We start from the raw sequence: 13,360 nt of genomic DNA, 5'->3' as shown, positions 1-13,360 counted from the left end.
CTTCCTATAAAATCATAACAACACAATTTTGTTCGTATTGTATTTTGCTTCCCCCTTCCTCCCACGCCCTTTCCCTAATCCAGGCTTTACTTCTGGGGGAAGGAGTAAGTCCCAGTATTGGTAAGGTATACCATTTTTCACATGTATAGCTTTATCATATGAAGGTTGAACACATTTTTATTTTTTATTTTTTGGTATGTTCAAGATGGTTTGGTATGTGGAAATCCTATCTTGGTATATGACATTTCCTTCCTTAAAAAGCTTGAATTAGTAATTCTGTTCTTCTTGGCCCTTAACCTTTTGGCGATTGCTGTCAGTGGTTTCGGGGATTTTTAATGCTTTTTTTATTCCAAGCAAGTGAATGAATAGTCATCTTCCTGTATCCACAGGGGATTGGGTTCAGGATACCAAAATCAGTGGATGCTGATGCCCAAGTCATAGAAGACATAGTATTTGCATATAACCCGTGCACATCCTCCTGTATTTTAAATCATCTCTGAATTACTTATAATACCTAATTCTATGTAAATGCTACGTAAATAGTTGTTACACTGCATTGTTCTTTATTTGTATTATTTTTGTTGTATTTTTTTCCCCAAATGTTTTCCATCTGCAGGTGTTTGAATCTGTAGATATGGAACTCACAGATATGGAGAGCTGACTAGTTGGGAGAAATTGTTTAACCACAGGCAATAGTTTAATTGTACCTAAAATCTTCATTCCAGCTCCCAGTTAATGTATATAATAGCTAATTTTATTAACACACTGATGGATGAGGGAAAATCATTCTGTAGTTCCTATCACAAAGTAGCAGGTGTTTTACAAAGAGCATAGTTAACCCCATTTGAAAACAGTTTGTCTGGATGTGGCTCTAAGTTGGTCCTGTAGCAGCTTTTGTCGTGTTCAGGAAAACAAGCAATCTAATATCAATTGTTATAGGATTCTTCTGTTTCTATTCCTGCAGCTTCATATTAAACCGTTGTCAAGAACAAAAAGAATAGTGTTTCGTATGCATTTCTGTATTGTGGTTAGCTCATTTGAAATGTACAAGTAGAAAAATGAAGTCAGTGTAATGTGGAAATCACACTGATTCACATAATTTTTCCTATACATGGGAGCAGACTGAGCAGTGGGAATAAGATTATAATCTTTAGCTGGAGAACAGAAAAGCTCTTGGCTCTTGAGCTACCTGTTGTGAGCAAGGTGTTCTTTGTACTCTATTTAAGTAAGTTAAAGACAAGCACCTACACCGGGGCCTTCTGCCACAGAGAGATTCATTCCTAACCCAGTATGACTCTTTGCATAGGATAGATTTCATTGTCTTCCTTACCCTAAAAGTATCTGTGTTGTTTGGGCCCCCACCAGCCCTATTTTAATTATAGTGTTGTCAGTTTGTGCACTTTTACTGCTTGCTGTGGCTCTTGCCTGCCCGAGCAATACAATTTAATGACTGCTCTTTTTCCCTGACAGAGGCCATTTATTTTAACCTTGAAACCAAGAATATAGTTTTGCTCTTGAAAGGATAATTTTTTAGTGGTTAAAGATTGCAAAAGTGAAAGTGAGGATTTTGGAGAAGAAATGTAGTAAATGTCTGTGGCTTTAAATTAATGTATTTTATTGATCTTAAAATGTACTTTCCTCTACTTTTAACCTGTCTCAAATTTGGAATTATTTGCAATTGATGTACTTCACAATTTATTTGGCAGTGGTTTTTTTTTCTTTTTTGGGGGTAAATATAATTACTGGGGCATCTTATAATTGATGATGTGTACTGGATTCATGAGATACAATATTTGCTATTAGATAAATTTTAGAATTTAAAATATCCTACTTTTGACTTTCAGAAAACCTAGTTTTCGAATGGAGATACTGTAATATTTTGATTTTGGAACTGTTTTTGAAAGTTCATGACACAGACTATGACACAGTTTTCTAAGTATTTTACGAGATGGAGATTTTACAAATTTTACTTACTTTATTTTGAGACAGGGTCTCACTCTGTTGCCTAGGCTGGAGGGCAGTGGTGTGATCATGGCTCACTGCAGCCTCAACCTCCCGGGCTCAAGCAGTTCTCCTACCCTCGGCCTCCCCAGTAGCTGAAACTGTAGGCACACATCACCACATCCAGCTAATTTTTAAAATTTTTTGTAGAGGCAGAGTCTCAAAAATGGTCCTGAACTCCTGGGCTCACCTGATCTTCTTTCCTCAGCCTTCCAAAGTGCTGGGGATTACAGGCATGAGCTCCTGTCCCAGGCCTAAAATTAACATTTCTGTACACAAAATACACATTTTCCCTTCCACTTCACTGTCACTGTTAAGACAAATCTAACAGTGGTTAGACTGCATCGTTCTCTGACACGGACAGCATTCCTCCTTACCCTGCAGACTTATTTAAAGTAATTTTCCCAGATCCCTTTGAGAAAATGGTTAAAGTTGTGAACACTTCTTCAGAAATAATGCTCACATCTCCTTACAATTCTTTTACAGTTTTCTGGTTTGCACTTTTAGGCAATTACACTTCTTGTTTTTGTTTTGTTTTGTTTTTAGCATATTGGTTAGAAACGCTAGAGAAGTGTTGAGTAAGATGATACTGCCTTGATTGCCACTTTAAGAATGCCTGTTTCACCATTAAATATGATTGCTGGTAGATGCTTTAAAAGTTTATTTGTATTTCTGTATTGCTAAGAGTTTTTCTTCTCCTAAAATCAGGAATGGGTTTAAAATTTTGAGATTCTTAGGTGGTTCTTAGAGCGTTCATTGAGATGATCATGGTAAAATACATGAAGACATGAATGTCTTAAAATTGAGCCATCCTTATTGTTGGGATACATTTCACATCATAGTGTTGGATTCAGTTTGCTTTTTTTCCTTCCAAAACATTTGAATTCATATTCAAAATGAGCGTCGTTTCTTGTGTTTTCAGGTTCTATAATCTGGTTGAGAAATTTGGAAGTTTTTTGTCTTCCTCAGGAATGCAGCAATCAGTGTTTCCTTGATAGACTTGAAATGCAGATATAATACAGTTACATTTATTGTTATCACTCGTTTTGTAATTCTTCTCATCTTACATTTGTTATGGTTTTCATGCATTTGTTTTATTTGTATATAATCGTGGGGTACAAGTGCAGGTTTGCTACATTAATAAACTGTATTGTGGTGAAATGAGGGCTTCCAGGGCATCCATCACTAAAGCAATGCACGTGGTACCCACCAGACAGCCTCCTATCATCCACCCCTCCCACCCCTCCACCCCTGCAAGTCTGCATTGTCCATCATTCCACACTCTGCCTCCATGTGTACACATTATTTAGCTCCTGCTTGCAAGTGAGAGCATGCAGTATTTGTCTTTCTGTGTCTGAGTTATTTCACTGAAGTGCTTTGGCTAAGCTATTTGGGCTCTTTTTTGGTTCCATATGAACTTTAGGATTTTTTTTTCTGCTTCTGTGAAAAATGATATTAGTATTTTATTGTAGTATTACATTGAACTTCCAGATTGCTTTGGGCAACGTGGTCATTTTAACTATATTCATTCTTCTGATCCATGAGCATGGGTGTTTTTCCATTTGTTTGTGTCATCTACAATGTATTTCATCACTGTTTTGTAGTTTTCCTTGTAGAGATCTTTTACCTCCTTGGTTGAATATATTCGTAGGTATTTTATTATTTTATTTTATTTTGTAGTTATTGTAAATGGGATTGCCTTCTTGATTGGGTGTTTGGCCAGATCATTATTGGTGGATAGGAACACTACTGATTTCTGTACATTGATTTCGTATCCTGAAACTTTACTGAATTCATTTACCAAATCTGAGAGTTTTTTTGGTGGAGTCTTTAGAGTTTGTTTTTTGTTTGTTTGTTTTTTGAGACGGAGTCTCACTCTGTCGCCCAGGCTGGAGCGCAGTGGCGCGATCTTGGCTCACTGCAAGCTCCGCCTCCCGGGTTCACACCATTCTCCTGCCTCAGCCTCCCGAGTAGCTGGGACTACAGACGCCTGCCACCATGCCCAGCTAAATTTTTTGTATTTTTAGTAGAGACGGGTTTTCACTGTGTTAGCCTGGATGGTCTCGATCTCCTGACCTCGTGATCCTCCCGCCTCGGCCTCCCAAAGTGCTGGGATTAGAGGCGTGAGCCACTGCGCCCGGCCGGTGGAGTCTTTAGAGTTTTTTAGATAAAAGATGATGTCATCAGCAAACAGGAATAATTTCACTTCTTCCTCTTTTCTAATTTGGATGCCTTTTGTTTTTTCCTCTTGCCTAATTGCTGTGACAAGTCTTCTGGTATCGCGTTGAATAAGAGTGGTGAAAGTGGGTATTCCGGTATTGTTCCAGTTCTTAGAGGGAATGCTTTTAACTTTTCCCCATTAACTATAATGTTGACTGTGGGTGTGTTATATATGGTCTTTTTTTTGTTGAGATATGTTTCTCAAAGCCTAGTTTGTCATGGACATTTTATTATGAAGGGATGCTGAATTTTATTGAATGTTTTTTCTGAGTCTGTTGAGGTGAGTCTGTTGAAATAAGGCCTTTGACCTTATTTCTGTTTATGTGATGTATCACATTTATTGATTTGTGTATGTTGAACTATCCTTGCCTCCTCAGGATAAATCCCACTGGATCATGGGGTATTATATTTTTGATGGTGCTGTCGGGTTCGATTTGCTAGTATTTTCTTTAGGTTTTTACATCTATGTTCATTAGTGGTATTGGCCTATAGTTTTATTATTTTGCTGTGTCCTTTCTGGTTTTGATAACAGGGTAATACTGGCCTCCATTCCTCAACACATGTTAATCCTCATCTGTTTCAAGAATTCATATTAAGCCTCACTGCTCCTTTTATGTTAATGTGTTGCTGTTTTTCTTAAAATGAAGTATATTGGCTTGCATGGAACAATATGTGGTACCAAATATTTCTTTTAAATTTACTACTGAAATAATAAGTATTTGAGGGGTAGATAGGGAGATATTTGCACACTAATAATATTTGTTCAACTGTCTGGTATTGATTTAAGAACCTTGTACTAAATATTTTATTAAATACTTAGTTTTTGGCCTTAATTTTAGTTATTTTGGATTTTCTAATAGATTCAGGAATCTGCATCATTTCCATAATCAGAAAATTGTTTCTAAAGAAAGATATCTGGAAATTATCTAACAGGAATGAAGTAGTAATTTAGTCACATTCCTATATGTAAGTCATAGTAGTGAGTAAAATAATATTGCTGATATTGTTAACCAAGATTAAGGGCAGTGTAAAGTTTTATGTCAAAGGTAGTGGCCTGAAAAACATAAAAAAGGATGAGGAAATGTGTTTAGAATGTTCTTACTATAATCATTTAAAAATATGTTTCCTCCTTCATCCCTAACCCTCATCACACTTTGTAATTCTTTTTAGTATAAGTGTTAGGTAAGTTAGACTTGGACCATCCTTAGGGAGGCCTTAGTTTTCTACATTCTACTTTATTGGCAAACTGGTTTTATATGAAGTTTTCAGTGTTACAAAAAATTGGAAATAGGCTGAGATAAACCTTTAGATAACAAGAAATACAGATGAATATTGCTGTGTAATGTAATGATGGCCCTGAAAGCTACTTGGAAGTACTTTCTCAAATAATAATTGTAATGAACCCAAGGTTTCTCTTTTTTGAATAATTACAGGTTGAGCATCCTTTATCCAAAGCACTTGGGACCAGAAGCGTTTCGGATTTTGGAATTTTTCAGATTTGGGGATATTTGCATATACATAATGAGATATGTTGGGATGGGATGAAATTTGTTTCATATACACATTATACACATAGCCTGAAGGACTTTATATACACTATTTTTAATAATTTTGTGCATGAAACAGAGTTTTGACTGCAACCCATCACATAAGGTCAGATGTGGAATTTTTCACTTGTGATATATTGGTGCTCAAAAAGTTTTGAAAATTGAAGCATTTTGGATTTTGGATTTTCAGATTAGGGATGCTCAACCTATAATAGAGAATAGACTTTAGTTTTGGTAACTGTATTTTTATAAAAGGTTTTCTTAAAGGTACAAGTATAAGGGAACTCAGAAACTTTAAGAGATTCCCATTGGCTAGAGATATGTCAATTTCAGCTTCAGAAAAGATTTTTTCAATAGATTTTATCACCAGCTATGTATAATCCATCAATTTATCATGATAATTTTTATAATAATTTGAAGGTACTCATATAGTGTAAAATTTACTCTTTTAAAGTATATGGTTATGTGCGCAGAGTTGTGCACCTACCACCACTAACTAATTTCAGAAGGTTTTCATCATCCCAGAAAGAAATTCCATATCCATTAGCATCATTTCTCCCTCTTGAGTGAAATTGCTGGGTCTTAAGATACTTCATGTAACCTTTTGAGGAACCTTCAAACTGTTTTCCAGAGGGAATGTACCATTTTCATTCCCATCAGTAATGTATGAGAGTTCCCATTTTTCCACATTCTTGACCGCACCTATCAGTCTTTTTTTTATTATGGTCCTCATGTTGGATGTGAAGTAGTATCTCATTATGGGTTTGATTTGCATTTATGTAATGATTAATGATATTAAACATCTTTCCATGTGCTTATTGGCTGTTTGTATATCTTCTTTGGGAAAATGTTTAAATCTTTTGCCCATTTTTAAATTGACTCATCTTCTTGTTGAGCTATAAGATGTATTCTGGACAGTAGACCCTTATGAAATATATTATTTGTAATATTTTCCTCCTCATTGTTTGGTTTGTCTTTTTTTTTTTTTTTGGAGACTGAGTCTCGCTGTGTCACCCAGGCTGGAGTACAGTGGCCTGGTCTCGACTCACTGCAACCTCCACTTCCCGGCTTCAAACGATTCTCTGCCTCAGCCTCCCAAGTAGTTGGGACTACAGGTGCCCACCACCACACCCGGCTAATTTTTGTATTTTGAGTAGAGACGGGGTTTGACTATATTAGTAAGGCTAGTCTCGAACTCCTGACCTCGTGATCTGCCCACCTTGGCCTCCCGAAAGGCTGGGATTACAGGCGTGAGCCACCGCACCTGGCCCCTTTGGGTCATCTTTTCGGTTTCTTGATAGTGGCTTTTGATGAACAAAAGTATTTTTTTGTTTGTTTTGTTTTGTTTTGTTTTGATGAGTCCAATTTATGTTTTTTCTTTGGTTGCTGATGCTTTTAATGTCATATCCAAGATACGATTTCCTAATCCTAAGGTCACAAAGATTTACACTTATGTTTTCTAACTGTAACTCATATTTAAGTTTTGGTTAATTTTGTGTTAATTTTTGCACCTAGTGTAAGGAAAGGATCTAATTTCATTGTTTTGCATGCAGTTGTCCCAATATCATTTGTTAAAAAAAACTATTCTTTCTCCCTTGGCACACACATGTCCAAAATCAATTGACTGTAAATGTCAGGATCTATTTCTGGACTCTTTATTCAATTCCATTGATCTATATATCTATATTTATTCCAGTACCATAGTCTTGATTAATGTAGCTTTGTAGTAAGTTTCAAAATCAGGAGGTGTGAGCCCTGTACTTTGTTGTTCATTTTCAAGATTATTTCTGGCTATTCTGTGTTCCTCGCAATTCCGTGTGGATATTAGGATCAGCTTGTCAGTTTCTGTGGGGGAAAAGTGCCTGATGGAATTTTGATAGAGATTGCATTGAATGCTGTATAGAAACCTAACTGATCACCTTAGGAGATGGCAGGGAGCCAATTTTTCAAATCTGTCTTGAAAACTAGTAAATAAGGGCATTTTTCCTGTTTCACCTGTGTGAACCATACCAACAGATAACCAAATAGTAGGTGAAGTATCTCTTTATACATGTATTCCATTGCATTAATGAAAAATAAATATAGAATTAGTTTGTCACAATTTTTGCAAATCCCAGTGAATGAATTAGTTTAGGCATTGAATATCAAGAGCTGCTAACTTTACAAAAAGAGAGACAGGTATTATATGCTTTCTGATAAAATAACACACCACCACCTGTAGTCTTACCAAAAGGACTGAACGTGAGATTAATTAAGTTGTTGCGTCCAGCTACCAATTTACAGGAAATACGGAAGCAAAAGGTCTGCATTGAAGGGCCCCATGATTTTGCAGTCATTCTACTGGAACCTCTTTAGGTCAAATGCCTTGAGTTTTTCCATAATTATAGGGAATAAAAAAGGATCAAGAGGGAACTTATAAATTAAAAGATACTTAAAAGACATAGTTTTAAAATTATTTCTTTCAAGAATGAGGCTTTTTTAAATTTTAATTCCTTTCACTTCCCTCCAAATTACATACGTACATTCATAAGCATGGATACACACATACACATATATAATGATACATACATACAGTGTTGCTTAAAAATGTTTAAACAGTGCATTTATATAAAATTTTAAATATATTTATGTACATACATAGTTTTATGTAGAAAATACATGTCATGTGTATATAAATATCTGTAGCTTTGAAACATCCTTTCCTCATTCAATTATCTATGTTTTTACTTTGTCCTATTAGAAGATGTAGATTTTTGGTCAGTTTAACTTCTGTGTAGAATTTCCTACGATGGGTGTGCCATATTTCTTTAGACATTTTGTTAGTTGATTGATAGGCAGTTTATTGTCAGTTTTTTAAAATTCCAAACTGTAGTGAATATCCTTATCCATGTATCTCTTCTAAAGTATATCCTAAGTTGTTGAGTACCTGTAGAGTTTCAAAAGATGGCACCACATTTCCTTCCTTATATCTACTCCTGAGAGTACTTAGATTGTGTTTCCACTCAACTGAGTATGTAAACTGTGTTAGGTTTTCTATGTTTATGTTAACGTCAGCCTTGATTACAGGATAAAGTTAGAGAACCTTTTTTTATTGGTTTTGAAACTAATTGCAGTCATCTGTGAAAACATTATTCTTATATCCTATCGAATAAGCTAATGTTGATGTAAGCCAGATTGATGTTTTCCGTGTGATTGTACCATTTCACAAAAGGATGTTGTTTAAAAAGTGCTACTGGAGGTTGTATAGTAACTTTCAGCAGTCAAGCCCATAGTTACCATTCTTTTTTTTTTTTTTTTTTTTTTTTTGGTGTGCATTTACAAACGTACATTTTTCCTCCTATCTATACAAGAGATAACTGATATTCCTCCTTAATACTGTCTCTCATTCCTAGAAGTGGGATTACTGGATCAAGGAGTGAAAACATTTTCAAGGCTTTTGAAACATACTGCCAAACTGCCCTCCAGAAAAAGGCCTCTACTGTGAATGTGATGATGGATGCCCATTTCTCTGAATGCTGATGCTGTATTTTTTTTTTCTCTCACTAAAGAAGCTGAGCGTTTTTTCCTCTAAGTTTACTGACCCATTTTTTTCTACTTTTATTTTAAGTTCAGGGGGTACATATGTAGGTTTGTTACATGGGTAAATTGGTGTCACTGAGGCTTGGCGTAGGAATGATCCTGTCACCAAGGTAGTAAGCATAGTACCAATAGGTAGCCATCCACCCCACACCCCCTTCTACCTCCCCAGTCAAGCAGTCCCCAGTGTTTATTGTTCCCATCTGTGTGCTCATGTGTGTTCAGTGTTTAGCTCCCACTTACAAGTGGGAACATAATAGTATTTTGTTTTCTGTTCCTGTGTTAGTTCAGTTAGAATAATGGCCTCCAGTTGTATCCATGTTGCCACAGAGGACATGATTTAATTCTTTTTTATGGCTGCATAGTATTCTGTGGTGTATATGTACCACATTTTCTTTATCCATTCCACCATTGGTGGGTATCTTGGTTGATTCCATTTCTTTGCTATTGTGAATCGCTCTGCAGTGAACATGCATGTGTCTTCTTGGAATAATTACTGATCAATCAATTGATTGACTGGTTTTTTTCCCAGTAGTGGGATTGCTGGGTACTGACCCATTTGTATGCCTTTTTAAAAAAATATCACTTTATGTTCGCTTTTTTTTTTTTAAATCATTGATAAGAGCAACTTAATAAACCTTGGTTTCTTGTTGAAATTCTTTTTTTATTGTGCCTTGTTTTGTGTCTTTTCTTTATGAGTAGGTTTATTCGAGGGTGATGGGAAAGAATATTTTATCTCAGTGTGTCTTTATTTATGCCATAGGCCTTCTCAGCTTGGTGTGAGGAAGCTTTTTTTAAAATTATGGTAATTTTTTAGAAATAGATTGCATAGAGGTGTGTGTGTGTGAGAGAGAGAGAGAGAGATTATAGTTAAAATAAAAAATGTGATTGTCTGCTGAACTAATTTTCAGGTAGAAATTAAAATGGCTGACTTTTAAAAAATTTGTGTACAAGTTAACGGAGTAAGAAAACCAGACTAAGGTGCCTAACTTTGGCTTTTCCATTGACTTTATTTAAATAATTTTATCTTAGAGATACATGATTCAGTTAACATTGGGTAAGAAATGAGCAATCAATATTCAGTCTTCTCTTGTCACCTAGCTTTGAATTATTTCTAATGTTTAAATTAAATAATTTTATTATTGGCATTATTTTTAAAGTAAAATCCTATTTCTCTGAGATCTGATGTATTAAACCATAAATATACTTTTTATATTGCTAAATATTGAGTATTTGGCTAGTTATGAAAACCATGATTTGAATTAAACTCATGTTGCTTATCAGGGCTTCTTCATGTTTATTTTCTTTACAGAAATACAGGTATCAGGATGAAGATACACCTCCTCAAGAGCATATTTCCCCACAAATCACAAATGAAGTGATAGGTCCAGAATTGGTTCATGTCTCAGAGAAGAACTTATCAGAGATTGAGAATGTCCATGGATTTGTTTCTCATTCTCATATTTCACCAATAAAGGTAGGATAGTATCTATTTATTATTGTTATGAATTACATATTACTTTTGTTATACATATAGCTCATGCTCGGAGAGAAGTATTCTTTCATGTAGGTTCGCCCTACCCCACCCCCCCATTTTAGTTTCATAGTTATGGAGAATTTCAAGGTGCTTATTAGTACTCCAGAAAACATTTTTAAATATGTATTTTATAAATGAATGTTAGTCAGTGATGCTATCTTTAAGTCTAAAAATTCCCACGATGGAAATAACTATTAAATTTCAAATACCACACACTGAAATATTTTCAGACACTTGTTTTTAAATATTAGTTGGTATAGAAACAGTGCATTTCCAGCACTTTGGAAGGCTGAGGTGGGTGGATCACTTGAGGTCAAGAGTTCAAGACAGGCCTGGCCAACATGGTGAAATCCCATCTCTACTGAAAATACAAAAAAATTAACCAGGCATGATGACACATGCCTGCAGTCCCAGCTACTCAGGAGGCTGAGACAGGAGAATCACTTGAGCCTGGGAGGCGGAAGTTGCAGTGAGCCTAGATTACGCCACTGCACTCCAGCCTGGGCGACAGCAATAACTCCATTTCAAAAAAAAAAAAAAGAGCATTAACATCATCTTTAAATTCCAAATATGTGACTTTTCTTGATCCTATCATCTCTCCCCTCAGAAGTAACTATAATCCTGAGTATATTTACCCTTTCTTATTAAAGTTCTACCATATATTTCGATTGCTAATCAATTGTTTTGCATATTTTGGACTTTATATAAATGGACTCATACTGTATATTTAACTTGCACTCTTTACTCAGTATTACATTCCTCACATTGATAAATTTCACTGCTTTAGAGTTTTCTATTTTATGAATATACTACAATTTATTTTACTTTTGATGGATATGGATTTATTTTCAGGTTATTACTAGTGTAAAAAGTGCTTGTAAAAACACAGGTTATATATACATCTTTGTGGATAAAGCCAGCTTGTTTCTCAGTAGCTGTGTCATTTCCAGTTTCAGCAGGAACATCTAACAGTTTTTAATTGATCCATGTTCTCTTCAATCGGTATTCTTATTTTTGGCATTGTTTTGGTTTCAAAATGGTATCTGAGTGTGATTTTAATGGGAATTTTACTAGGGAGGTATGATATATTTATTGGTCCTTTAGGTTTCCTTATCTGTTACGTGCCCATTTAAGATTTTTGCTCATTTTTGTATTGGGTCGTTCTTTTTATTGATTTGTATTTCTTTTATATTCTGAATATTAATCCTTTGTTGGTTGTGTGTATTTTCATTAAGGATCATTTCTTACTAGTAAAATTTACCTGGATTTTGTAATTCTCTTTGAGGAGTGATATCATACTACTGGTTAAAATTTTTAATGGTTATAGTACGATTCAGATTTTCTATCAGTTAATTTTGCTAGGCTATTTTTTTCTAGTAATTTTTAACATTTCAGATATATTTTCAAATTATTATTTATGATATCCTGCTAATACCTTTTAATATCTATAGCATATGTAGGCATGGTCCCTTTTTTATTCATAATATCACTTATTTCAGACTCTTTGTTTTCCGTCACCATTCTTGCCAAAAGTGTCAATTTCAAAGATGGTCTTTTCAAAGAACCGTCTTAAAAAAACAATTATCTTGAGTCCCTGCCCTGTTTGCCACCACCCTTACCCCTCTGTTCTTATACACACATACACATACATAAAGACATGTTTATGTATGTACATTCATATGTGTATATGTAAATATAAGTTACATGTAGGATAGCTGAATATCAATTAAAGATAGTGTTCAGTATAAGTAATCTGATCCTCCCTTGGGGAACTAAAAGAGAGTTAAGGAGAGTAAACAGCCAAAAAATCTGATTTTTTGGCTGTTTACCAGTTAGTGGCAGAAACAGTTCTTCTATCTTTTCTTCCTTTCTCTTTTTATCATTATTATTTTTTTCTTTTTTGGTTTCTTTGAGTTTATTCTGTTTTCTTGTTTTTCTAGTTTCTCAAGTCACTTGCTTATTGCACTAATTACCAGCCTTCTTTTCTAGTAGTATTCTTTTATAAATGTTTCTTGAAACAGCATTTTTAAATGTATCCCACAAGTTTGAATATGTAATGTTTTCTTATTGTATTTTTTTAATGTCTGATGTGATTTGTTTTTTGTTAGCCTCGTGAGTTACTTAGAAGCGTGTTTAATTCTTAAACATTAGAGACTATTCCTTCCATTTTGTCTTTTTTGTTTTTGTTTTTCTGAGACAGGGTCTTGCTCTGTTGCCCAGGCTGGAGTGCATTGGCAGTCATAGCTTACTGCAGCCCCAAACTCCTAGGCTCAAGTGATCCTCCCAGCTCTGCCTCCCAAGTAGCTGGGTCTACAGGCACATGCCATCATGCTTGGCTATTTTTTTTGTTTGGTAGAGACAGGGTCTTGCTCTGTTGCCCAGGCTTGTTTTGAACTCCTGGCCTCAAGTAATCCTCTTCCCTTGACCTCCCAAAGTGCTGAGATTACAGGTGTGAGCCACTGCACCTGGCTCATATCTT

At 35.2% G+C, this 13,360-nt stretch overlaps 1 protein-coding gene across 37 annotated transcripts in view, besides 1 other annotated feature; it reads left to right on the top strand.

Moving 5' to 3' along the window:
• DLG1 (discs large MAGUK scaffold protein 1) overlaps window positions 1-13,360 on the top strand; it is a 256,762-nt gene that overhangs the window by 94,076 nt on the left and 149,326 nt on the right. For all 37 annotated transcript variants that reach the window (NR_158764.1, NR_158765.1, XR_007095643.1 and 34 more), the window contains exon 5: window positions 10,657-10,821. Coding sequence is in view for 33 of the 37 variants with exons in the window: in NM_001366203.1 (NP_001353132.1) it covers window positions 10,657-10,821 (165 nt within the window). In the remaining 4 variants the exon portion in view is untranslated. The remainder of the gene's footprint in view (window positions 1-10,656; window positions 10,822-13,360) is intronic.
• Window positions 999-1,537: an enhancer, noted in NCBI's record as "OCT4-NANOG hESC enhancer chr3:196930580-196931118 (GRCh37/hg19 assembly coordinates)". NCBI's record gives its function as "activates a minimal SCP1, AML or CMV promoter by ChIP-STARR-seq in naive H9 embryonic stem cells {active_cell/tissue: H9 hESC(naive)}" and the evidence as "EXISTENCE:reporter gene assay evidence [ECO:0000049][PMID:30033119]".

The sequence above is a fragment of the Homo sapiens genome, chromosome 3 (genome assembly GCF_000001405.40).
Source record: "Homo sapiens chromosome 3, GRCh38.p14 Primary Assembly".
In the NCBI taxonomy this organism is placed as follows: Eukaryota; Metazoa; Chordata; class Mammalia; order Primates; family Hominidae; genus Homo; species Homo sapiens.
Note: the sequence above shows the minus strand (reverse complement) of the source record. Positions and strands in the feature narration are given on the sequence as shown.